Source organism: Homo sapiens, chromosome 4 (assembly GCF_000001405.40).
Source record: "Homo sapiens chromosome 4, GRCh38.p14 Primary Assembly".
Classification (NCBI taxonomy): Eukaryota; Metazoa; Chordata; class Mammalia; order Primates; family Hominidae; genus Homo; species Homo sapiens.
The window spans coordinates 145,632,991-145,660,724 of NC_000004.12; the positions used below are offsets into that span (position 1 = coordinate 145,632,991).

General features: G+C 39.8%; 1 protein-coding gene across 3 annotated transcripts in view; it reads left to right on the top strand.

Annotated features, from left to right (window-relative positions):
* MMAA (metabolism of cobalamin associated A) overlaps nt 1–27,043 on the top strand; it is a 40,649-nt gene extending 13,606 nt beyond the window's left edge. For 2 of the 3 annotated variants that reach the window (NM_001375644.1, NM_172250.3), the window contains exons 2-7: nt 6,085–6,588; nt 9,373–9,495; nt 12,996–13,166; nt 18,072–18,157; nt 21,004–21,153; nt 22,157–27,043. In NM_001375644.1, coding sequence (NP_001362573.1) covers nt 6,150–6,588; nt 9,373–9,495; nt 12,996–13,166; nt 18,072–18,157; nt 21,004–21,153; nt 22,157–22,444 — 1,257 coding nt within the window. In that variant the 5' untranslated portion in view covers nt 6,085–6,149 and the 3' untranslated portion in view covers nt 22,445–27,043. Of the gene's footprint in view, nt 1–4,609; nt 4,711–6,084; nt 6,589–9,372; nt 9,496–12,995; nt 13,167–18,071; nt 18,158–21,003; nt 21,154–22,156 lie in introns of those variants that run through there. The other variant, XM_011531684.4, reaches the window with a different exon arrangement.

The window sequence follows — 27,734 nt, forward strand, 5'->3', positions numbered from 1 at the left end:
TATGCCTTGGCCTCCCAAAGTGCTGAGATTACAGGTATGGGCCATCATGCCTGGCCCAAGCTCACTAATTCTTTCTTCTGCTTGATCAATTCTGTCTTAGGAGACTCTGATGCATTCTTCAGTATGCCAGTTGCATTTAATCTCCTTGTTAAATTTATTTGATAGAATTCTGAATCCTTTCTTGTGGTATCTTGAATTTCTTTTTCTTTTTTTTTTTTTTTTTTTTTGAGATGGAGTTTGTTCTGTTACCCAGGCTGGAATGCAGTGATGCGATCTCGGCTCACCACAACTTCTGCCTCCCAGGTTCAAGTGATTCTTTTGTATCAGCCTCCCAAGTAGCTGGGATTACAGTACCCACCACCACACCTGGCTAATTTTTGTATTTTTAGTAGAGACGGGGTTTCACCATGTTGGCCAGGCTGGTCTCAAACTCCTGACCTCAGGTGATCTGCCCAGCTCGGCCTCCCAAAGTGCTGGGATTACATATGTGAGCTACCACATTCAGTCGTGTCTTGAATTTCTTGAGTTTCCTCAAAACAGCTATTTTGAATTCTCTGTCTGAAAGATCACATATCTCTATTTCTCCAGGATTGGTGCCTGGTGCCTTATTTAGTTTATTTGGTGAGGTCATGTTTTCCTGGGTGGTCTTGATACTTACAGATGTTTGTCTGTATCTGGACATTAAGGACTTAGGTATTTATTGGAGTCTTTATAGTCTGGGCTTGTTTGTACCTGTCCTTCTTGGGAATGCTTTCCAAATATTTGAAAGGGCTTGGGTGTTCTGATCTAAGCCATATCTGCATTTTGGGGCACCCCAAGCCCAGTAACACTGTGGTACTACCTTGGTGATCTTGGATAAGATCCTGAAGAATTCTCTGGATTATCAGGCAGAGACTCTTGTTCTCTTCCCATACTTTCTCCCAAACAGAATCTCTGTCTGTTTTGAGCCACCTGGAGCTGGGGATAGGGTTATACAAGCAACCCTGTGGTCACCACCACTGTAACTGTACTGGGTCAGACCTGAGTCCAACACAGCACTGGGTTTCACCAAAGGCCCACTGTAACTACCTGACTATCACTTATGTTCACTCAGATTCCTAGGGCTATACAGTCAGCGAGTGGCAAAGCCAGACAGGCTTATGTCCTTCATTTGAGGGTGGTAAGTTCCCCCAGGCTCCAGGTAAGTCCAGAGATGCCATCCAGGAGTAAAAGCCTGGAGTCAAAAACTCTGGAAATCTACGTGATGCTGTGTTCTACTGTGGCTAAGCTGGTGTTCAAACCACAAGGCAGCATCCTTCCCATTCTTTCCTCCCTTTTCCAAAGGCAGAGGAGCCTCACCCCATGACTGCCACTGCCACAGGCCCATGAAGAGTGCTACCAGACTACTGCTGATGCTCCCTTAAGATCCAGGGGCTCTTTGGTCAGTTTGTGGTGATGCTGGCTGATCAGGGACTTACCCTTCAGGGCAGTGGGCTCCCCTCTGGCCCAGGGCAGGTCCAGAAATGCCATCCAAGAGCCAAGGCCTGGAACTGGGGACCCGAAGAGCCCATTTGTTTCTCTACCCCACTGTGGCCAGGCTAGTACCTAACATGCCAGACAAATTCCTCTTTACTTTTCCCTTTGCTTTTCTCAAGCAGAAGGAGTCTCGCCCTGTATCTAGTGCAGCTGGGAATGCGCTGAGTCTTACCTGAAGCTAGCAAGTTTGAGAGTCTCACCCAAGGCCCTCTATGTAGTACCTTGGTATTGCTGCTGGGCCCAAGGGCTCTTCAGTCAGCAGGTGATGAATCCTGCCAGGACTGGCTCCTTTTCTTTAACGCAGCAAGTTCCCTTCTGGCCCAGGGTGTCTAGAAATGTCGTTCAGGAGCTAGGGCCTGGAAGGGGGACCTCATGACTCTAACTGGTGCCCCATCCTGCTGTGACTGAGGATATCCAAGATGCAAGATAAAGTCCTCCCCGCTCTTCCCTTTCCTTTCCTCAAGCAGAAAGAAGGTGTCTCTTTTGCAGCCATGAGCTATGCAGCCTGGGATTAGGGAAGGAGTGATGCCAACACTCCTTTTGCTGCTCCAGCTGGTGTCTCACTGGGTTGTGTTCCCCCTCCCTGAAACCCCCTAGTCCACTGGCTCTGGGCTCAGTTCAACACTAGGACTTGCCTAGGAGTTGCAGTCCTTGTGGCCTAGACTGCCATTAAAGTTTAATTGAGACACTAGAGCACTTTAACCCACAGTGGCTAGGCTTCTGTGAGCTCAGGAAACTCAAGTTTCAAGCTCTGGGAACAGCCAGGCCTCTCTGGCTGGTTTAGTGGTTAATAGTTCCTTCTGTGTGTGGTGCCAGCTGAGTTTTTCAGGTTTGCTTTCTGCTATAACAGGGCGGCACTGAGTTCAGTGCCTCAGAATTGCTATCCCTCTCCCCATCTCACAGAAATGCTCTCTGCATCATGCCACTGCTGCCAGGGCATGGGAGAGGGGTGGTGTTGGGGATTCAAAACAGTTTTTCCTACCTCTTCTGTGCCTCTTTGAGTGATACAAAGTTAAAACCAGGTAGAAAATGATTGGTGAAGCCTTGTATTCTGCTATCGTGCTCTGACCCTGACCACCTCTGTCACTCTTTGTTTGAACACAGCTTGTTTGGTAATAGGAGGTAGTCATGGTAAGGACTTGTTAATTAAGGAGCATATTTTAAATAGTTCTAATTTGCTCTTAGACTACATATGACAACATCTTCCCTATGGGACAATAGGACTAGATTTGGTAATAAGAATGTTTTCTATCCTGCAGATTTCCTCTCTCTGTTCTTTGGCTCCTCCTCATGCCACCAGCATCACTGCAACTGAAAAGACTTCTTACTCACTTCAGAAGTTGGGCAGAGTTACTAATATCTACTTCCCTTTTAGCCAAAGGACTTCTTTGTTATTTTAATATAATTTATTAAGTAATGCCTGCCATAGAGAGTCAAACAACCTGGGTTTGAATCTTGGCCCTGCCACTGGCTATGACTGTGATCACTCAGCTCTCTCAGTGTTCTTTCCCCCTTCTGTTAAATGAAAATAATAACTGTTGTACTGTCCTCATGGAATTAACTGGAGAATAAAATGAAATAAAATATCTGAAAGTGGCTGGTAGACTCTAATGTGCCAGGCATTTGGGGAATGAAATAAGTTCAGATCAGCAGCAGCTCTTTTTTTCTTTTTATTTAAGCAATTGCAGTGTGCCAGGCTCCATGTCAAACTCTGAGGATTCTAATAAAATAGGATAGGTCAAGAAGGTCTTAAATCAGGCTTTTCCTTTCCATTCCTTAATACCTTGCCTCAGTCTAGGTCCTCATCATCTCCTTTGGTTCCTTGCTAGGCTTCCTGAACTGGGCTCTGTTTAAAAGTCTCATCACTCTTGACTTCGTGTCACTGCTTCTAGAGTTATCTCTTCAAAAGCAAAGTTGATTATGTCACCTCCAAAAAGGTCTCTGTCATTTGTCCACTGCCCACAAGACAAAATTTAATTTCTTGACCTCAGTTTACCTCCGGTCCAGCCTCATCTCCTATCAGTAGTTCCATATACCCTAGGCTTCTGCCTTACTGAATTTCTTAATTTTCTCTGAGATGACAGGGAAGAGACCAAGTCCCAACTCTGATTTTGCACATTTAAGTCCTCAGACTGGAAAGCCTGCCTCAACCTTCTTCAACATTTTTGTTATTTCAGACTCGGTCTTGACTTCAACTCCTCTGTGACTTGAATTCCCCAAGGAGAGTGAGCTCCTGTAATCTTGTCTGTGCCCATGGCACTTTGTTCTTTCTTTGATGTCACGTATTTTATTCTGTGAGCTCTTGAAGTGCTAGGATTAGGTTATTTAAGATAAGATAATGAACGAGGCATTGTACCTAAGAAAGTGTAGCAGGTCGAAAGATGGCCTTCAAAAAGATATGTCCACATCCTAATCCCTGGAACCTGTGAATGTGGCCCTATTTGGAAAAAGAGTCTTTGCAATGTAATTAAGTAACTAATTCTGTTACAGTAATTATGGTAATTTGTTACAGCAGCCATAGGGAACTAATATATTAATAGAAGGTTATGGTATAATGGCTGGAACATAATCAAATACTATTGTCATCACCATCAGTACCATTGCTATAGTCACCATTACTCTTATCACCTATCATGGGACCTGAAAAGTAGTATGTTCTTAGAAAATAGTGGTTGAATAAAAATACAGTTCTTGCCTGTGGGATTCCAGTCTATTGGTAGTGGTAGTGCTGCTGATGAGAATTGTGCTTAAAGGTGGTATTGAAAGAGAGCTTCCAAAGTAGACTCCCTCTTAAAGTTTTGTTTTAAATGTCTTTTTGTGTGTTTGTGTGAAAGGTGACATTAGATCTTTTAAAATTGTTTTTTAGAAACACTTTTATACATTTTTAATTGTCCTTTTAGAATAAGGCTAATTTTGTACAAATAGACATTATAATGCACCCCCCACCCCACCGCCCCATAGAGAAAAAGTTGTTGTTTTTGGAAAACTGATGAGCACTTATAGTTCTACCAGTTTAAAAAATCTTAAACTATTCTTTTTTCCCTAATAGAATGTTAAGAAGCTAAAATTAATTTCATGTTCATCGGCCTTGAAGTGCCATTTACAGGTATACCTTGGAGCAATAATTTATTCCACCATGCCACAAGGTGCTTGAAAATCAACCAAAATTTACAAATACTCATAAACCCAAACTGGGTGAGTTATATATAACTGTAAATTTTAGTTTGCTACTGGAAGAATTATTACCAGTGTTTCATAACTTGGTGTAATTAAAATAAAAGCTAAGGTTAATTGAGCTCTTACTGCATGGTAGACACTGTTCTAAGCTTTTTACAAGAATTGTCATTTTGCTCTCACAACCACTCTGCTTTCTTACCTATTCTCTTTACTCAAGAGGAAGCTGAGGCACAGAGTGGTCAAGTAACTTGCCTAAGGTTATTTTGGCTTAAGTGGCAGAGATTCATAGTGACCGCGGCTCATAACCTCTGCACTGCCCTGACTCGGCATACCATGTCAACTTTCATTTTTTAATACAATTTGAAGTAGAGAATATCAGTATATCATCATAAAAAAGATCCTTATGGCCGGGCGTGGGGGCTCATGCCTGTAATCCCAGCACTTTGGGAGGCCGAGGCGGGCGGCTCACGAGGTCAGGAGATCGAGAGCGTCCTGGCTAACACAGTGAAACCCTGTCTCTACTAAAAATACAAAAAATTAGCCGGGCGTGGTTGCAGGTGCCTGTAGTCCCAGCTACTCGGGAGACTGAGGCAGGAGAATGGCGTGAACCCGGGAGGCGGAGCTTGCAGTGAGCCGAGATGACGCCACTGCACTCCAGCATGAGCGAGAGAGTGAGACTCCGTCTCAAAAAAAAAAGATCCTTATCTAATTTCGTAGTGGTTCAAACTTTAGTGTGAATCTACAGGGATTCTGATTAGTGGGGCTGGGAATGTGCATTTTAAATAAGCACCCAGGTGGCTCTGACTATGCTTTGAGATACACCTACAGTTCACTTATGGCTTGTTTGTGTGCTTTAAGTTAGGCTACTCTTTGCATACATCTGTGTTCAAGGATGAGTCTACTGAATACAAACATGTATCTAAACTTACACCTGAAGTGCCCACCGTAGTAATCACATTTCTTTTTGTAGAGAGTGAATACAAGGCCAGCATCAGAGAGATTCATTTTTTTTTTTAACCTTTTGTATGAGCTTCAGAATCTGGTGTATTGACCTGAGGAAACTGTTAAGACGAATTTAAGAGAAAGCATAACATAAAGTTTCTACCCTAGTGGTATTTTATATATTGTTTTTATTAGAAGAAAAAGTGTAAATTCCACTTCGCAGTAGAGTAGTAGTTCCATTATTCGGGTTACTCTGAATATTAACTGTGGCCATGGAGGGAGTCTTCTCTTTTAAGTTTATTTAGTAAGAAAACTTTCACCCATTTGTACTACCAAAAACTCTGATTATGTGTGGTTTAGAATATGGGGGAAACACTAGGCTTTCAAATTTTACTACTTCAGTATTTTAGTTATATATCGAACTGGCTAACATGTTTTTCTTTCTTCTAGGGAGGTCACAATCACATTGAGCCAAAACGCATCCAGTGTTTTCTCCAGTTACAAATAAAACGAATATGCCCATGCTGCTACCACATCCTCACCAGCATTTCCTAAAAGGCCTTTTAAGAGCACCTTTCCGATGTTACCACTTCATCTTTCACTCAAGTACTCATCTCGGATCAGGAATCCCATGTGCTCAGCCGTTTAATTCTCTTGGACTCCATTGTACAAAGTGGATGCTGCTGTCAGATGGCTTAAAGAGAAAATTATGTGTACAAACAACCTTAAAGGACCACACAGAAGGACTTTCTGATAAAGAGCAAAGATTTGTGGATAAACTTTATACTGGTTTAATCCAAGGGCAAAGGGCCTGTTTAGCAGAGGCCATAACTCTTGTAGAATCAACTCACAGCAGGAAAAAGGAGTTAGCCCAGGTGCTTCTTCAGAAAGTATTACTTTACCACAGAGAACAAGAACAATCAAATAAAGGAAAACCACTAGCATTTCGAGTAGGTCAGTCTTTTTTGTGTGTTTTCTCAGTAAATATTTTTACAAATTCTCTGTATTCTGTTTTTTAAAAAAAAGTCTAAATAGTTTGCAATCGAATGGCGACTTTTTTCACAATATTTGGATGAATTTTAAATGAGTTTTCCTGGCAAATATTAGTTTTGTTAAGTTGAAAAAATTGCCATGACATTTGAACCAAGGCTATGTATTTTAAGAAAATAATATAAGATTTTTACTTTGGCAAGAATCTTGCTCTGGATCCCAGGACAGAAATATTCATAGGAAGAACTACTAGTGAGTTTACTCCTTTTTCTTTTAGTAGTCCTTCTGCTTAAATAGTTTAAAGTGAATTCCCTGTTTTGTTGTCGTATCAACTATAATTATCACGTTTGAAAATTCTGCCTCTTAGGTATTTCATTAGTCTTTCTATAGGCAAGTCTCACTTCCTTCAGGTACTTTTTATTGAGTTTCTCGGAGTGACTGTAAACCCAGCCTTCTCAATACCAAAATGTATTTTATTTATTTTTATTTTTTATTTTTGTACTTTATTTTTTGAGACAGTCTTGCTCTGTCGCCCAGGCTGGAGTGCAGTGGCGCGATCTCGGCTCACTGCAACCTCTGCCTCCTGGGTTCAGGTTCATGCAGTTCTCCTGCCTCAGCCTCCCGAGTAGCTAGGATTACAGGCATGCACTACCATGCCCAGCTAATTTTTGTATTTTTAATAGAGACAGGGTTTCACCATGTTGGCCAGGCTGGTCTTGAACTCCTGACCTCAAGTGATCCACCCGTCTTGGCCTCCCAAAGTGCTGGGATTACAGGCATGAACTACTGTGCTCAGCTATTTTTAGTCTCACTCTATCACCCAGGCTGGAATGCAGTGGTGATCATAGCTCTGACATCATGCTTGGCTCCAATATCATGCCTCCAACATCATCCTTGGCTAATTTTTTTTAGAAGTTTTTTGTAGAGATGGGGTCTCATTATGTTGCCCAGGCTGGTATCAAACTCCTGGGCTCAAGCAGTCCTCCCACCTTGGCCTACCAAAGTGCTGGGACTACAGGCATGGGCTACCATGCCCAGCCTATCAAAATGTACTTTAAGAAAGAGATCATATTTATTTATTGTCTGTATATTAGATGTTCATTTGATTTCTTGAACAATTTGACTTGGTTCTGAAATTGTTTTTGAAATTGTGCATTGTAAAACAATTTAGATATGTTTGACCAGCAGGAATTAAACAAGCCAGTTTAGGTGGAATGAGAATGTCCCACGGTGGTGAACTAGGTGATTTGAACCAACCCTCGTGCTAAAAACAACTTGTCTTGGTGGTTAAAGTGCAAAAATTTTGTGGAGAATGAGTAAATACTTTTAAAATTTCATGTTACATTACACCTTTGTCTCACAGTTTATTGGCAATGCAGACACAAAAGCCTCCTAGTTTTTAGGTTAATGGGCATAGATGCTTTAAGATAATTTCAAAATAGCTCACCAACCAATATTTATACCAGTCCCCATTTTTCAGACTTCTTAATCTTCTGCCCTTACTGAGGGATTCTCATTTTGAGAGTACTACCTTGGATGTTAATAATCTTTATGTATGGTAAACAAAGATAATAGCAAACTCCCGCAGAGAAATTCTAGGTATGACAAAGTGCCTACTTACTAAGATTTTAGAGAATCTGTGAAAAAATGTCTCAGAAATGTGTGGAATTAACTAGCAGTTCACAGATAACTTTGTAGTGCTATTCCAGTTCTTCCATCTTGATCTTATGAGGCCAGATAAACCTGTCTTTATTGCAGTTATTTTTTTCACCACCATAAGTAAAAGCAACAAATGTTTATTCAGCACCTAAAAAGGTGTTTAAGATAGTATTGGATCTGCCCCAAGAATTGTGGTAAAGAGTCAGGCATCCCATACACTATACATATTTTGAGTGTAGTTAGTTAAATGTCTATGTTTTATATATTTCATTTAACATACACTTATATGTCTCTTATGCCATGCACTGTTCTAAACATATTGCAGACATTAACTCATCTAATTCTTAAAACAACCTGAAGAGAGAGGTACTATTACTATATCTATTTTATTGCAGTGGACACTGAGGCATAGAAAGAGGTTAAGTAATTTACCCAAGATCACATAGCTCGTGGGAGGCAGAGCTAGAATGAGAACTGGCTGCGTGGCTTCAGGGTTTGTGCTCTTACCGGCCGTGCACTGCCAACTCTCCAAGTGGGGGAGTTTTCTGCTTTTCTTAACATAAATTATTTTTTTCAGAATTCAGTTTATATTCTTTGAGTTATGAGTGAGATGAAGAAAAAAGATGATCCCTTATAAATAGAAAATTGCTTTCTCAATCACTGGGAATTTCTAGAATAATGAGTTGTTTTTCCAGTGGGAAGAAGTATACAGAACTGAGGTAGGTAGAATAATTACTGATCATGATGAGAGGTGGGCAGATGTAGAAACTGAGCACATTAACAATGGAGACAATGAAGTCTGTCCAGAAAGATCTACTTTATAGTACAAAGGCAAAGCATGTTTTGTAGTTTTTAAAAGTGAATTTTGTGAACATTTGGAACCCAGGGTGTTTCCTTCCTATAGCCCCATTACTCAGGAATTAAAGAAACAGATTTTTATTTGCCATTTTAGGACATGTTGAAATATATTAATTGTGGTTTTAATACATTAGGGGAAATAGAAGGTAGTCTAATATTTTACTCAGTAAAACTGATCGTAGTTCTGATTTCATTTGTTTCATTGAATTAGAAGATCTCTTTCCACCGTAGGATTGTCTGGGCCCCCTGGTGCTGGAAAATCAACATTTATAGAATATTTTGGAAAAATGCTTACTGAGAGAGGGCACAAATTATCTGTGCTAGCTGTGGACCCTTCTTCTTGTACTAGTGGTGGTAAGTATGGCTGATTCTTTTTCAATTGCAGAGGTCTGGGGGCTTTCTGTTACAATTTAGTAGGAATTGGCACAGTTGGGTGACCTCTAACTGCTAGCTAAGTTTGGTCTCGCTAAAGGAAGGGAGTTCTGCAGAGTTAGGTGGAAGCTGAGAGAAGTAGTTTGGGAGTGTTGTACTCCTCAGAGGAGGCCAGCTTGTGGATAGCTCAGTGGGCACTCAGAAAACTGCGACAACAGGTGCCAGAAGTTGAAGATGATCAAATGCAAATTTCAGTCCTTCAGCTTCCATGCATAAGGCCAGGCCCCTCTTTGCTCCTGTTGTGTTTCCTGGCTGCATTAGCACCTGTGCAATTCAGAAAATAGGTCCTTACTCATGTGTCATTTTCCTCATAATGTTTTAACATCTCTTAAGCTTTAGAAAAACCTTACTGCTGTTTATAATTGTCAACTGTTTATATAATATGTTCAGTTAAACAGAAAGCTCTTAGAGGGGCACTGTAATATACTGCCATTCCCCTTACAGTATTTAGCATAGTACATTGTACGTTGCACAGAATGTTAAGCAGTTACTTTCTGATTTGATGTCATGAAGTCACTCAAAGTTTAATTTGCAGCTCATCAGCGATAAAATGAATATAAACTTAGTTCCCCAAAGGATCATTTAAAGAAAACAGAAAGCATACCATATAAACAGGAAAGGTTTTTTCTTCCCTTACCCCTCTTTATGATTTAAGCTTTTCATATTACAGTTACTCACTTAGCAAGTATTTGAGTGCCTACTATAGGTGAGGCATTGTACATGGAAGGTTCTTAAACTGTGTTATATAATGGTGAACAAGATACAGTCCTGGCTTTAGTGAGGTTTACATCTTATGCAGGAAACACAAACACAGGCCATTACAATACAATGTGTGTTGTGAAGGGGTAAATACAAGATGCTTTATGGAAGTATTTGGTTTTTGCATACTGTGTTATAATGTGGGTTTAATACTAAGTATTCAGAATGATGATGTAATCATATTTTAGGGACTTAGGTTAATATAGACGTGGACAATTCCTATTATCACCCCATTCCTATTATCATCCCATTGAGAAATCTAGCTCAGAACATTCAAAATTTTTGAGTCACTATAATAAAAAAAGTTAACTGTAAAATAAAATTTTTGCTCACAAGGTTCAAAATTAAATCCATGTCAATATGTTGTCTCATTTACAGCTTTAGAACTTTGTTAAAAGTAAGTACTTAATGAAGGATTTTTTAGTAAGTGGCCCTCATTTATATATAGGTGAGAAGGCCATTCCCCCATTTTCACAATATTCTAGAATACTTAACAATAGAAAAAAATAATAGCTTGAGATAATAATAGACAAAAATAATGTCATAAAATAGCCTGTGATTAAAGTTACATAGCTATGTGTTTCCTAACCTTTCTCAAAAAATAGTGGTCCCTTTCTCAGGCAAAAAATTATATAGACTTTGAAAGAAAAAAATACAAGGATAGACAAAACACTATGAATATAAATTTCTACCTTATTGTATCAGTGCATACACTTGAAAAACAGCATTACATTAAAGTTTGAGAAGCATTAGTTTTTTGGTCTATAGTCAATCTTTTTTGTGCTTTAAATTCACAGACCCCCTGTGATAGCTTTGAGACCTTCGTGAGAGTCTACAATTAACAGTTTTGGAATTTCTGGCTAAGACATAGGAAAGTAATTTCCTAATGTTTACTTCAGTGTGATGGGATCTATAGGATAGTAATTTAAAGTATAGCTTTGGCAGATTGTTTACTTACACAGAGATTATTTCATGCAGAAAATTACCTTAGAAAAAGGTTGTATGTGAAGTAAATAAGGAAGTTGATGTATGGGGTACATGTGTGGTCTAGAATTAGAACCTATGAGAAGACTCTGAACTGGCATTTAGTGGTAAAAGAGCATATCTTTAAGAAACTTTTCAATCTTTAACATTATGTGGAAAGATATGTGGAAACATTATGTGGAAAGAGGGAAAATGAATATTCAGATTAGAACAGCAGTACACCTACAAATGTTGGTATATGACTAAAGCAAAGTAGTAAAACATAATAGTCCCAGGACTTTCAGTCTTCTAGAATTTGTAAGTATTGATGTTTGTCAAAATATTATACTACAATGAAAACAAAAACATAACCAGTTTTATTCCACAGTTATTGAGTGCCTACTCTTAACACTTTGTTAAGCATTTAGTGTACAACCTATGTAAGACGTGGTCCTGTAGGCAAAGACTTATTTAAAGCATGGTTTCTCAAGTTTGGCGGTAGTGACATTTTATGTCAAATCATTCTTTGTTGTGGGTGGCTGTCCTGTGCATTGAAGGATGCTTATTTAGCAGCATATCTGGCCTCTACCCAGTAGATGCCAGTAGCACCCTACCCCTCACTTGTGACAAGTAAATATGTCTCTAGACATTGCCAGATTGCCCCCAGTTGAGAACCACTGTGTGAAAGAGATAAGAATTAAAAATATGAAACCAAAAAATGTGTTGTATGAATAGTTTTCCATCCATTAACTCAGCTTACATTGCATTCAGTGAGAGCTCCAAATTTTCTAAGTAGTAGGCGATTAGAAGCAACAGACTGGGCAGAAGGGGCAGCTTGAAGATATATTTGTGTAGCATTTACGTAAGGTTGAGAAAATGTCATTTGCAAAAATAAAAGAATGAGGAGTGGAGGGTGCTCATGGAGATAATAGAAAGGGGAGGGACACTAAAGTTCTCTTATGCCCTCCAGGATGCTGGCATACATTGCAGAGCTGTTGTACCTTAGAAAATCACAGAGATGGGCATGGGCTGAAAAGGTTCCAGGCAGACTATATGAAGGAGCAAGGACTTTTACTGATCTTTATAAGGTGGATAAGTTCTGTGTTTTTGTTATTAACGGTTTTTGAAGCACATTCCTGTATATAATTACATTTGCTTCTCCCAGTAGCATATTACCCTTGTGATGTAGCTGAGGAAAGAGGATTCAGGAAGGTAAAGTGACCTCTCAAAATTGAATAGTGTGAAATGGTGGAGCCAGAATACAGACCCTGGGCTTGACACATTGTAACTTAGCAGTGAGGAAGCAGGAGAGATACTTCTGGCATGAGAGCACAAACAAAAAAGATGGGACGAAGCAAACACAGTGATGTTAAGATGACAGTAAAGTAACCACCCTGGTTGGAACAGAGGATTGGTGTGGGGACTAGTAGAAGCCAGAGTTGGACAGGTAAGGTGCGGCTGAAGAATCTAGATTGGAACCTTTGGTCAGGGGGAAGCTATAAATTATAGATTTTGAGGGGCTTGAAATGTTAAGATTAATCTGACATCATTGTATACAATGAGTTGGAGAGAAGCTCAGTAATATGAAATGCAGTTTGAGATTTAGGGAGAAATGGCATAAAGCACTTCCCTCTAGGAACTGGCTGATAATTGACCCGTAAAACTGTTCCATGATTATAAAATGTAACTGTATGTTTTAGGATCACTCTTAGGTGATAAAACCCGAATGACTGAGTTATCAAGAGATATGAATGCATACATCAGGCCATCTCCTACTAGAGGAACTTTAGGAGGCGTGACAAGGACCACAAATGAAGCTATTCTGTTGTGTGAAGGAGCGGGATATGACATAATTCTTATTGAAACCGTTGGTGAGTGTGATATTCTATTTCATAACAATGTACTATTTTATGAATGCTATATAAAGATGAGTGACAACTTATTTTTGTTCATTCAGCAGATATTTGCTAAATGTATAATTAAATACAAGATATCCCATACTCCCTAGAAGATATGAATGTATAGGTTATAATCTTTACCCTCCAAGATCTTATTTTAAAAAGTAAAAATAAGCCATCTATCTGGATAACTGTTATACAGGTGGTATATTATACATGCCAGAGGAGAACTGTAAACATTAGGATGATCTGTGTAAATGATGCTTTGGCACAACACCTATTTTAAGTACATTTCATATGTCTACTGTGTTCATCAAGAAAATTAATGTAGTTGGGTGCCTTTTGAAAATGCAAATATGTTTTATTTCATTGTTTTATATCCTTAGCATATAGTTACATGTGATGAAGACACTGAAATGAAAACCCTAATAAATTCTTTCTTGTGGAGAGACAGTCTATTATATTACTGTGGGATAAATGTTTGTGATACAGCCTAACTCAGATGTGGGGGTCCAGTGAAGACTTCCTAGAGGAGGTCACAGCTGAACTCAGTTTCGAAGGAAGAATTGGAGATAAACAAAGTATGCGATAAAGGGCATTTGCAAAGATACACGGGAGTGAGAAAACATGGCCCATCCAGAGAAGTACAGTTTGCTCAGGATACTTAGAGCAAAGAGTGTGAAGGCAGGGAATGAAGGGAGGTCAGTTGGAGCAGTAGGCCAGGGCCAGATTGTCAGGGACCTTACATGCCATGCCAAGGAGTCTTCTGGAGTTTACCCTGAAAGGAGCAGGAAGATCCTGCTGGATAAGCAGGAGAGTGAGAAAACCAGATAGGTATTTTGGAGAGATCCCTGGCAGCAGAGTATAGAATGATTAGAAGGAGGGCTAGAATAGAATCAGGAGACCACTGTACTAATCCCAGAAGGAGATGGTGGAGGTCTGAACCAAGCAAAGGAAGTAGGAATGGCGATGAGATAGATCAACAAAACACTGAAGATAAATGGGCAGGATTTTATCCATGATAAGATGTGAGATAAGGAAGGAAGGGGAATTGCAGATAATAGAGAATACTGTAGAAAAAGTAGATTTGCAGAGAGGAAAACAATGAGTTCAGTTGTGAATATATTAAGTGTTAAATGCTTATTAGGTATCCGAGTGACTGTGTGTCTCAAGAGAAAAGGACTGAATGAGAAATACAGATTTAACAGTTACCAGCATGGTTCATAGTTTCATAGTTTAAGTTAAAAATTTGGTTCAGATCAACTGGGGAAAATATGGGACAAAAATGGAAGATATTTATATTAATCTGCTAGGGCTGCCATAGCAAAATACCACAGACTGGGTGGCTTAAACAACAGAAATGTATTTTCTCACAGTTCTGGTGACTGGAAGTTCAACATCAAGGTGCCCATAGGGTTGGTTTTTCCTAAGACCCCGGACCTTTGTCTTGTAGATAGATGGCTGCCTTCTTGCTGCATCTTCACTCTCCCTTGTCTCTTCCTGTTCACTTCACTCTCCTAGTGTCTCTTCCTGTCCTTTTGAGGGCACTAGTCCTATTGGATTAAGGCCCTACCCTTATGACCTCATTTAATTGCTTCTTTCAAGGCGCTATCTCCAGATAAAGTCACCTTGAGGTTTAGAACTTTAACATAGGAATGTGGTTTGTTTGTTTGTTTGTTTGTTTGTTTTTTGAGACAGAGTCTTGCTGTGTCTCCCAGGCTGGAGTGCAGTTGCGGGGTCTCGGCTCACTGCAACCTCCGCCTCCCGGGTTCACGCCATTCTCCTACCTCAGCCTCCCCAGTAGCTGGGACTACAGGCGCCTGCCACCATGCCCAGCTAATTTTTTTTTTTTTTTTTAGTAGAGACAGGGTTTCACCGTGTTAGCCAGGATGGTCTCGAACTCCTGACCTTGTGATCCGCCTGCCTCAGCCTCCCATTACAGGTGTGATCCACCGTGCCTGGCCTTTTTTTTTTTTTTTTTAAAGACAGAGTCTCGCTCTGTTGTCCAGGCTGGAGTGTAGTGGTGCAATCTTGGCTCACTGCAACCTCCGCCTCCTGGGTTCAAATGATTCTCCTGCCTCAGCCCCCCGAGTAGCTGGGAATACAGATGCACGCCACCACACCCGGCTAATTTTTGTATTTTTAGTAGAGACGGGGTTTCACCATATTGGCCAGGCTGGTCTCCAGTGCCTGACCTTGTGATCCGCCCGCCTCGGCCTGCCAAAGTATTGGGATTACAGGTGTGAGCTACCGCACCCGGCCTAACTTAGGAATGTTTCTAGATGAGGGGAACACAGCTCAGTTTATAACAATAGCCATGACAGGGCTTTAGAAACTCCACCATTAAAAAGTAGATGAATGAAGAGTTAGTTGCCTGAGTAGTAGTAGGAGAATCAAAGGAGAAGAGCACCTTAAAAACCAAATATATTACCTGGTTATATTTAGCTACCTTTCCCAGAAACTCAAAATAACAGTGACTCAAACAAGAAAGAGGTTATTTTCTATATAAAAGAGACCTAGAGCGGGCATTGTGGCCCCAGCCTGTAATCCCAGCACTTTGGGAGGCCAAGGCAGGCAGGCTGCTTGAACCCAGGAGTTCCAAACCTCCCTGGGCAAGATGGTAAAACCCCGTCTCTACAGAAAAATAAAAAAATTAGCTGGGCATGGTGGCATGCACCTGTAGTCCTAGCTACTTGGTAGGCTGAGGTGGGAGGATCACCTGAGCCTGGGGAGTCTGAGGCTGCAGTGAGCTGTGATGGCACCACTGCACTCCAGCTGGGGTGACAGAGTGAGACTCTGTCTCAAAAAATAAAAGAACCCTGAGGTCAGGCATGGTGGCTTACACCTGTAGTCCCAGCAGTTCAGGAGGCCAAGGTGGAAGGATTGCTTGAGCCCAGGAGTTTGAGACCAGCCTGGGCAACATAGCAAGCCTTGGTTCTATCAAAAAAAAAAAAAAAAAAAAAAATTAGCCAGGCATTGTGTTACACACCTGTAGTTCCATCTATTCAGGAGGCTGAGGTGAAAGAATGGCTTGAGCCCAGGAGTTCAAGGCTGCAGTGAGCCACGATCGTGCCATTGCACTCTAGCCTGGGCAACAGAGCAAGACCCAATCTCTCTTTAAAATACAAAGGAGCCTGAGGCAGGCAGTCCACAGCAGGTATGGTGCTTTGACAGTGCCCTCGGTGTCACAGGTTTCTTTTGTCTGCCTGCTTACCATTCTTAGCACTCAGTTTCCATCCTCCAGTTTGCTCATGGTTAAAAGATGGCTGATGAAGCTCTGACTGACACTTCCATGTTCCACATAGATGGAAGAAGGAAAGGGAAATAAGGAAGCAGAGAGGGGTGGCATAAGAGGTATAGCTGAATTAGCCATCTTTAAAAAACTTTTCTGGGAACCCCATCTAATGACTGTTGCTTTGACTCATTCATCATATCTCGCTGAAAGGAGATCTTGTGAATGTGGTCTTTCATCTGATACACTGATACTCCTAATAACATTGGAATAAGAAAATAGGGAAGAATAAATATTAAATAGGCAACTAGAAGTCCATCACACCGAGAAAGGGAGAGAGTTTCCAGAGTTTTGGTGGAAGTAGATTTTTTTTTGAGGTGGGGTATCACCATGTTGCCCAGGTGGGAGCACAGCAGTACAATCACAGCTCACTGCAGCCTCAACCTCCCAGGCTCAGGTTCAAGCTGTCCTTCCACCTCAGCTTCCCAAGTAGCTGGGACTACAGGTATACCACCATGCCCAGCTAATTTTTGTATTTTTTGTAGAGACAGGGTCTCACTACATCACCCGGGCTGGAAGACAGTTTTAAGTGGGGTGAGATGAACATGAAGTGAAGTGGAAGGAGTCAGCATAAATTACCTTTTTCCAGAAACGAGTATTTTAATAAAAGTGAGAAACGTGGTGATAGTTGGAGGAGTTTGTGAGTTTTTGTCTTGTTATTTTGTTGTTGTTGTTTTTGTTTTATGTGGCTTTAAGATGAGAAAGATTTGAGCACAATTTATGTATTGTGCCGGGGGGCAAGAGCCTGTAGATAAATGAGAGGTTAAAGATAATAATCAGCAAGGACCCAGAGGAAGTGGAAAGGAATGAGAGATTCCTTTTCAGTCAAATAGTTCTTATTACACTGAGACTGCAGAGGAGGCAGTAAGGCTGAGTTTGTATTTGTGTCTTGTTACCTGTGGAGTACGGGAGAGGGAGAAGCCTAGGAAGTTCTTGCCTTTATTTCCTCTGTGAAGTAGGTGCTGTAGTCCTCATCAAGCGGGGAGATTATGGGACAGTGAATGTTCATAATAGCTGCTGTGGGAAATGGAACGGAAGCCAACCGAGGGCATTTAGGGAGATTGCTTTTGCCAGGCCGTAAGGAAGATGTAGCAGAGGCTGCCTGTCGTGGCTCTTGTCCACAGAGTTGAGTGATTTCTCTCACGTGCCTATGGAGGAGAGAACACACATAGTTGGATTGATCCATACATAATTGGGCGTTTGCAGGCAAGTATGAGGACAAGAAGACAAAAAAGATGAAAGTATTTGTAGGCATGATTCAAGATTAGAGTCACAGTGTTCAAGCTGCTCGCTGATGAAAAGGAAGCCAAGAAAGAGCTGTGAGAGTGAGGAGAGGATGGAAGCCTTTAGGTTCTCCATTCAATCCAAGAACGGAGCGGGAGAGCTGGGAAGGATAACGGGTTTGCTTAGAGGGTAAGATATGACATTTAATACATTCTTCAGAAGTGAGATGTTTAAAGGAGTGACCAGGTTGACTGTGTGACCATGAGTATGAGTAAATGAAGTAGAATGGAAATGGTCAATGTAGTTGAGAAAGTCAAATAATGGTGAGTATTTTAGGATATAGTTGTGATTTACAATTTCAGGTGTGGGTCAGTCGGAGTTTGCTGTTGCTGACATGGTTGACATGTTTGTTTTACTACTGCCACCAGCAGGAGGAGATGAGCTGCAGGTAATTATTTTTATTTTTTCCCCCAAAAATATAAAATGTATATCTCTGAAAATAAAAATTTCCAATGTTGTGTTTTTGTAAACTAAGTTGATAATGGTTTAGAAAATGAAATATCATTCATGTTGGCTAAAATACCTGAATCAAAGGCAGATTCTCTATATTTTTTCCTAACTTACAGGAATAGAATATGTGTCCTTGAGAATGTAAAATTATGCAACATTAATTTTTCCATCTGTAACATGACTGAAATACATGGATCGCTCCAGCCAGTAGAGACCATTGTTGCATAGATGTTGTTAGTACGTTGATTCAAAAGTTCTGGGGAGAGTGGGATCCCACTATCATAGTTTATATGTTGTACAATGAGATTCTTACTCTCCTCTGCACCGCAGTTCTGGCACAACTACCTAAAGTTAGTGCAGACTTTATAGGGTGAGGGCAGAGTCCTCCACAAGCCTCCTCTCACTGCAGACACTACTAGCTGCAAGCTCCAGGGTTCCCAGGCCACCCATACCTCTGACCAACGGGCTATAAATTTGAGGGTTCCCATTATCCCTTAGGTTTAGTAATTCACTAGAACAGTGGTCCCCAACCTTTTTGGCATCAGGAACTGGTTTCATGGAAGACAGTTTTCCACAGACTGGGGGTAAGGGGGGATGGTTTCAGGATGAAACTGTTCCACCTCAGATCATCAGGCATCAATTAGATTATCATAAGGAGTGCACAACCTAGATGCCTAGCATGCATAGTTGACAATAGAGTTTGTGCTCCTATGAGAATCAAATGTTGTTGCTGATCTAACGGGACAGAGCTTAGGCAGTAATGCTCGCCCCCCTGCTGCCCCCCTGCTGTGAGGCCCAGTTCCTCCGTGGCCTGGGGGTTGGGGACCCTTGCACTAGAGTGACTCAGAGAACTCAGGAAAGCACTATATTACAATTGCAGCGTGCTTATAAAGGAGACAAATCAGGACCATCCAAATGAAGACACACATAAGAAGCCTGGGAGGGCCGAAATGCAAAGCTTCTGTGTCCTCAAGACACATTTCTCTCCTGGCATATTGATGTGTATCACCAACCAGAAGGCTCCCCTGAGCTTTAGTGTCCCAAGTTTTTCTTGGGGTTTCATTATGTAGGCATGATTGACTGAATAATTGAAGTTGATCTCTAGCCCCTGTCCCCTCCCTGGAAGTTGGGTTGATATCACATGGCATAAAACCCCAACCCTCTAATCACATGATAAGTCTTTCTGCCATGGTCAGTCTCCCATCCTGAGTGATCTCATTGCATAAACTCAGGTATAGGCCGGGCGCAGTGGCTCACGCATGTAATCCCAGCACTTTGGGAGGCCGAGGTGGGCGGATCACGAGGTCAGGAGATTGAGACCATCCTGGCTAACATGGTGAAACCCCGTCTCTACTAAAAATACAAAAAAAATTAGCCGGGCATGGTGGCAGGCGCCTGTAGTCCCAGCTACTTGGGAGGCTGAGGCAGGAGAATGGCTTGAACCCGGGAGGCAGAGTTTGCAGTGAGCCAAGATCGCACCACTGCACTCCAGCCTAGGTGACAGAGTGAGACTCTGTCTCAAAACAACAACAACAACAAAAAAACCCAGGTATAGCCCCAGGCACCTCCCATGAATAACAGACACTCCTGTTACTCAGGAAATTCTGGGAATTTAGAACTTAAAAGATTACCTCCCAGAAACCCAAAAACCAGACAAATTTTTTCCTTTTTTTTTTCAGAGACAGGGTCTCACTCTGTTTCCCAGGCTGGAGTGCAGTGGCATGATCATAGCTCACTGTAACCTTGAACTCCTGGGCTCAAGCTACCCTCCTGCCTCAGCCTCCCAGGTAGCTGGGACTACAGCCATGTGCAACCACTCTCGGCTAATTTTTTAATTTTTTTTTCTACAGATGAAGTCTTGCTTTGTTGCCCGAGTTGGTCTTGAACTCTTGACCTCAGGCAATCCTTCTGCCTTAGCCTCCTTAAGTGCTGGGATTACTGGTGTGAGCCACCACACCTAGCCCAGACAAATTATTTGTTATACAATGCTTCTGTTTCAATTTTATAATTCTAAAACATAGTGATTGCAGACTATCGCTGCTTATTTAGAAACATTAACTATTAGTATTTCATAATTGAATGTTTTGTTTAAAAATATTTGAAAAGAAATTTTAATCTTATGTAGAAAAATCTGTATTTACTAAATAAGGTTTGGCTTTTGGATTTCATCCTTTATTTCTAATATTTTTATGTGACATAATTTGAATTAAGAGATTGAGGTTTGTCCACGCAAAGCTGAAATAAGAAAAATACAAAGTATAAAAATAAATAATAATAAAAAAAGAGATTGACATATTTTTAGGCATCAGGTTCTTTTTCCTCAAATGCAAATTGAAAATAAAATGCTATATACATTTAAGGAAAATTTCAAAGACTTTTTTCTGGAAATGCAGATGTTAAGGATAGGTGTTTTCTTTTTAAGCACCTTAATGATGAATGGTTTTGCATCCTGCAGTGTTAGCTCAGGAGAAGCACATTCCATCACGAGATAATGTGAACTGTCCTGCCACTCAATCATGTTGTGACTTGATGTATTTACCCTAATTCTGAATGTATTTCAACATGTTAGTCTCTAAATTTGGAAGAGATATTACAGATGACTTCTATAATTCCAATAGCCAATGCTTTTGAGTAATTTCTGTCAAGTAATGGTGATTCTTGGCATCCAGGGCTTAGGAGGATATGGATGAAAAGTTAATGAAATGTATGACTTTCAAAATCTGAGCATTGACTAGTTTTCCCATTTTTATGTTGGTTGTCATTAAATGTTTCTGATCTCTTTAGGGTATCAAAAGGGGTATAATCGAGATGGCAGATCTGGTAGCTGTAACTAAATCTGATGGAGACTTGATTGTGCCAGCTCGAAGGATACAAGCGGAATATGTGAGTGCACTGAAATTACTCCGCAAACGTTCACAAGTCTGGAAACCAAAGGTAAGCTTGCTTGCATTCTGTATCTTTCACTCTGAATGGATTGTGTACATTAGAAGACAGGATATAAGTCCCAAACTAGACATATAATCAATCTTGCTTCTATGTGAAGATGATAGTTTTAAAAATCATGACAAAGACGGAGTGTGTAGTCATGATTTTAAATATAATCCTTTAACCACTAGATGTCAAAAACTAGATCAGAGATGATAGATGTGATTGTAATACTTGATTTGAGCCATTTGGAAGTGATAGCAAATCCATTCTGAAAGGAACCATCCTTATTAAGATTATGGAGCAGTTAATGATTTGATTATCTATATTGGAATTTGATTCCCATTATGTTTGTTGGGTGCCATTTTCAGTAAGGAAAAAATTTTAATCCTGTAATAAGTGATGCAGTAATATTGATGTGGTCATCTTTATCTGTAGACAGACACTATGTTATTAAAGAATAAGCTGTAATCATTATAATGAGGACAATGATGACTTATCTTACTGTCATATCCCAGTTTTTCCCAATCATGTTGTCTGCATTGAGTCTGGATTCACCTCATATATACATGCAGATGTCAGATACCCAGCTCTTCCACTTGCTAAATCAGGCAAATTTGGCAGAGAGAATTAGGCTATTTCTCAACCTAGCTTCATTTTCTGGCACTCAGTCCTCAGGGGAACCTACCTGGCATTGCCCTTGTCACAAGTCCTCTATGATGCCCCTGACCATCTGAGCAATTAAAATAAAATAAATTAAATTAAAATAAATCTCTGGGCTTAAAATTTGACCTTGAATCAGTGTTTTATTTCTGCTATGCACTTAGTAATCCTAGGTATATTACCTCAGAATATATATTGGTATATTTACTTTGACACAGCAATAAAATCTCACTCTTGTCAATTGCCTATTTTTGTAGACCGTAAGAATTAACTGGCAGGTATCAGCGTCCCTGTAAAAATTTTTTCTATCATTTTAAGTAAAATGGTCTGGTTCTTCCCTTTTCGATAGGTAATTCGTATTTCTGCCCGAAGTGGAGAGGGGATCTCTGAAATGTGGGATAAAATGAAAGATTTCCAGGACCTAATGCTTGCCAGTGGGGAGCTGACTGCCAAACGACGGAAGCAACAGAAAGTTTGGATGTGGAATCTCATTCAGGAAAGTGTGTTAGAGCATTTCAGGACCCACCCCACAGTCCGGGAACAGATTCCACTTCTGGAACAAAAGGTTCTCATTGGGGCCCTGTCCCCAGGACTAGCAGCAGACTTCTTGTTAAAAGCTTTTAAAAGCAGAGACTAATAAAATTCATCCTGTATAATAATTTTACATATCATTTCATAAAGTATTTTAATAGAAAAATCACTTGTATGCTTATATTTTCAGTAATTATTGTATGGTGCTCTTGTCTTCTTTGTTTGTGACCCATGCTTGAAAACTTGAAGGAAGTTAGATATGAATGGCAAAAGTTAGGCAGTATTTATAAGGTACCTGTTTTATGTTACTGATATCTGTTTCCTTCTCTTCTTATACCCTGGCATGGTGGCCTGTAGGGTAGTTTCTTCTTAATAGTCAAGAACAGAGAAAGCTGAGGAGAGCAGAAAATATCTTGCACTTTAAAATGCTTATTTTGATTCCATATTATCTGAATTTCCAGAGAGGATGTAAACAAGAGTGACCATATTTTTGGAGTCCTTCTTGAAGCCAGAACAACACACAGTGGGTTGCTAAGAGCCGACAATCATAATTGACATTTAGTGTACCAGATTATTCTAAGAATTTCTGAAATTACCATGTACATGAGTAATGAAACAACTGGAATAATGTGATGATGTGAACACAATTTTAAAGTCTGCTTGTCTGGATTTGCAGGTACCCTTCCGCCACCCCCCAACATGATAGGTAAGAGAGCAAAAGGGAACTGGGAAAAATCAGCTACAAATAAAATGGGTGACTAATCCCCAGTTCTTGGACCCATTATATTTGTAGCCAATTGGAGTAAACCCCTAAAAGACAAAGTGAGGTCAGAATGATTCAAGGATTATTCAGTTTGAAGACTACCAAAGGCTTTTGCTTCTCTTCTTCCTTGGCCATTTCACTTCATTTTAGTATTTTAAAAATCTTTTTTCTTGATGGTGAACAAGTTTTGTCCTATGCTATGGAGGAGGCATAGCACAGTGATTAAGAGCTTGGGCTCTGTAGTTGGACTATGTGGGTTTAAACTTTAAACCCAGATCAATTGTATATTAGCTACATGAGCTAATCTCTTTAAGCTTCCATTTCCTCCCTGGTAAAATGAAATTGGCAAATAACTTTCTAAGGTTAGTGAAGATAGGAAATACTCGAAGGCTGCTTACTATCCTTATTACATTAAAGTTATGGGTATCTTGAAACTACAAACCTGATGTATAATTTCAGTTTTCTCTCATGGTCTTGTTACTACCATCATACTCTTGATATTTTAGGATACTTTAGGATTACCTTTGAAGAACCCTTTCTAGTTAATTCTTTGAATATGTTTTATACTTATTTGATGGTAGTTGTAACTGTGTACATTTGAATAAAATTTCTAACCATAAAATTTCGCCATTGCACAAAAAGCCTTTATAGAAGTTTCTAACATATTCTATTCTGAACCCTGTAGAATATTTTATGTAGTATAGCAGCTTGCATTGTTACTTACTGTACTGGAATCAAACCTCTTGAGCATTATTTTAACAAACATCCCTTTACATTTTTTGGAAAGATTTTTAGTACTCCATTGGCATAGCTATTTCATACAAGGATTAGGAGAAACTTTGAAAGGTTATCCACTTGACTTTTCTGATTTTAGAAAGGACTACCATTAAACCACCCTATCAGACAAAAAAAACTGGTTTTTAGAAACCTGAGAGAAGGAATTTTATAATTTCCCTGAGTAAGCTGTTACAGGGAATAACAAATCTCCTGCCACATGTGGCACAGTGTAAGTAATGCTGGAGCACACATACTGCATTGTAAAGAAGGTAGGAAAGGTGGGGGGACTTTTGTTAGCTTTAATTTTAAGGCTAAAAGCATTTCTTCTCAGTTTGAACTACTTTTAAATGTTATAAATGTCATCATAAAAATCATTAGAAAACTCATTTCTCCTTATGTTGTCGTTGTACCATTGGGTATTGTATAGAGACCAATTTCTAAGAGATTTTTTCACCTCTGTTTCTGTTATTTGCTATACTGGAGGTAATATAATAATAATGAAATATAGCTTTTTTTTTCAACTCAGAAATCCTATTCCCTCTCCCCATCTGTGATTATATTGTACTGGACTTCTGACTTGGTCAAAAGCATAGGTTTTGACTTAGATACATGTGGGGGCAGATCTCAGCTCTATCACTAACTAGCTATATGATATTTGGCAAGTTTTTTCTCTATGTGCAGTAGTTTCTTTATCTGTAAAATTAAGATAATAGCTACTTTACAGGGTTGGAAGAATTAATTTAGAAATTGTACAGTGCTTAGCCTCAATAATTGGTAGGTGGTGGTGTAAATATTTTACATAGATACTTGTGACAGTTCTTTGTTCTACAAAACAGACTAATATTAATTTCAGATTGGCCAAGCTACTTAATTTCTCTGTGCCTCAGTTTCCTCACTATTAAATGGGGATGACAATAGTGTCCACCTAGAGCAGGACTATTTTAGTATTACATATAATCCTTGGATATAAATGCTGATGAAGTTTGGATATTTGTCCCCACCCAAGTCTCATGTTGAAATGTAATCCCCAATCTTGGAGGTGGAGCCTGGTGGGAGGTGTATGGATTAGATCAGATCTCTCATGAATGACTTGGGCCATCCTTTGGGTGGTAAGTGAGCTCTTGCTCCGAGTTCACACGAGGTCTAGATCTGGTCATTTAAAAGTGTGTGGCATCTCCCCATCCCTCACTCTATCACTTGCTCCTACTTTCGTCATATGACATGCCTGCTCCCCTTTCACCTTCTGCCATGATTGTAAGCTTCCTGAGGCCTCCCTAGAAGCTGAGCAGATGCCAGCACCATGCTTCCTGTAGTCTGTAGAACCATAAGCCAAATAAACATCTTTTCTTTATAAATTTATAAATTACCCAGTCGCAGATATTTATAGAAAGAACAGCCTAATACAGGTGCTAAATACATATCTGACAATAAATGGTAGTTATCTCTTAGAACTGTTATGAGGATTAAACGAGTTACAGTGTCCATCTTAAAAAGATAATTCTGAAAAAAATCTCATAGGTTCACTTTGCCTTGTCAAGAATATGATTACCATTAACTTCTGTAGATAGGAAAAAAATGTGCTGAGCTCCAAAACTGACAGACATTTTGCTAAAACAATATCAAATCTCATTAAAATGATGACAGTTATTTCAATAGTTGACAGTAGCTATCCCAATACAACCTAACAAGGCATTTTCTCTTCAGAATCACTCGATCATATGGCCATTTCCCTAAGCTTTTATAGCTATTGCCCAGTGTACACTGAAGACAACAGCTAACGAACAACATACGTGTGATAATTTATGTAGTTGAACCTCTAAGGCAAAAAAAAAAAAAAAAAGGAAAAATTAGTGAAAATCATTCAAACATTATGCTCACCAGGTAGACTGCCATCATAGAAGTCCTAATGCTACTGCTAAAAACTAGTAAACTACCAGTAAACTGTGAAGACAGAAGTAACTCCTGTGATCTATATGTTTGTGCAGATGGTGGAGCTTTTCTGCTCCTAAAGCCTGAGAAATGCAAATGTGGCTTCGTTAATGCAAATGCTTCCTACGCCAGACTTTATGAAACTCCTCCTAAAGTTGAATTCTTATCCAAGTGGACATATGTTAGGGTGCCATTGTAATTCAGGTAGAGTGTCAGAGTGGTGGCTGGCACCAACGGTAGATGTTCTCAACATTAGCGTTATTCAGGTAAGACTACAACAATGATGAACATGTCAAAACTTTCCTTTAAAAGGAACAATCAGAAAAACTCTTTAACAAATGTTTTTCTTTCCGTAGTATTTTAATTAAAATTTTTAAAATTTTAAAATTTACTAAATTTATGAACGTTTTTATCCCACTTGAGATGAATACTTATTTATAGTCCCTGTCCCATGAAGCTTCTGTGGATTTGCTTTGTTTGTCATTTGTGGTATGTTTGATAACAAAAATATTAGTGGCACAAAAGCAGTTATATTGAATGCTTTTGTTTTAGAGAAAATTTCACTCTGTACTAGAAAATGTAGATGATGTGAGTCAAAGTTCATTAATATTTACCTGAAAATTTGTGTATAAAGGTAACCTTGGGGCAGTTTATTTTGCTTAGACCCCTCAGCTTCTTGATAGAGTGAGGTGAGGGCATATGTAAGTCAGTAAACTATTCTGTTAGTAAAGTCAAAGGCGTAATCTAAATTAATTATGCTTTTAACTAACACAGAAGAAATCATGTGACCTCATTCTCAAAGCTCGTAACATCCACCTGGCCAATCTTAAGATGTGGATAGAGTTCTTTTTTTTCTTTTTTCAATTTTTACAATAATTTTTGACACATTGAAGCTGTGCATGTTTATGGGGGCACAATTTGATGTTTCAATACATGTATATGTTGTGTAATGATCAAATCGGAGTACTTAGCATATCTATCATCTCGTGCATTTATCATTTCTTTGTGGCGAGAACATTTAAAAATCCTATTTTCTAGCTATTTTGTAATATACACTACCTTACTGTTGCGAACCATAGTCACCCTACTGTGCAATAGAACACCTGAACTTATTCCTCCTATCTAGTTGTAACTTTGTACCCATTGACCCCCCTTCCCTTCCTTCCACTCTCCCCTCCCCAGTCTCTGGTAACCACTGTTCTGTTCCCTATGAGATAAAACTTTTTTTGTCTTCCATATGAGTGGGATCATGTAGTATTTGTTTTTCTGTGTCTGGCTTACTTTCCTAAACATAATGTCCTCCAGGTTCATCCATGTTGTTGCATGGTGTTAATCTTAGCATGACAGTATAGCCATTATAGGGCTCATACTTAAATGCCAAATCTTGTTATATATGGAACCCAGCTATTTCAAGGATCAATGTTCTCTTATAAAGTCACATTAGCATTTACACCCAGATTTTGCTGACTCAGAATTCCATCACATGTGAGATCTCGGTCGCCTGAAAAGTCCTCTCCCCAAGTATTTTTGGAAGTCTCAGGGGTTTCCTCACTGATTCACAAACAAGTTCACACTCTTGGGTGCAGCCTACTCGTGCCAGGCTTCTGTTGGGCCTCCACTATTTCTACTGCTGCTGTTCCTGTAGGAGAATGCTGCCTTGCTTAGATGTTCCCAAACTGTGAAACACTTAAGTTGCCAAAATAGTGCTGTGTTTCCAGGGTACATCTTCTTTGCCTCTCTTCCCATAGGGGCCAGTGCATTGTTCTGAGATAGGAACCAACTACTACCATCTCTTATTGTCCTCAGGTCTCCTGTCTTTTCCCCCAGCACCTAAGTACACACCTCTACAGAAGGCTTTCCCCACACAAGCCCACTTTTCAAAATGCAAATCAAATCCTGCAAAGGATGCCTGAGTAGTTGGCTGTCC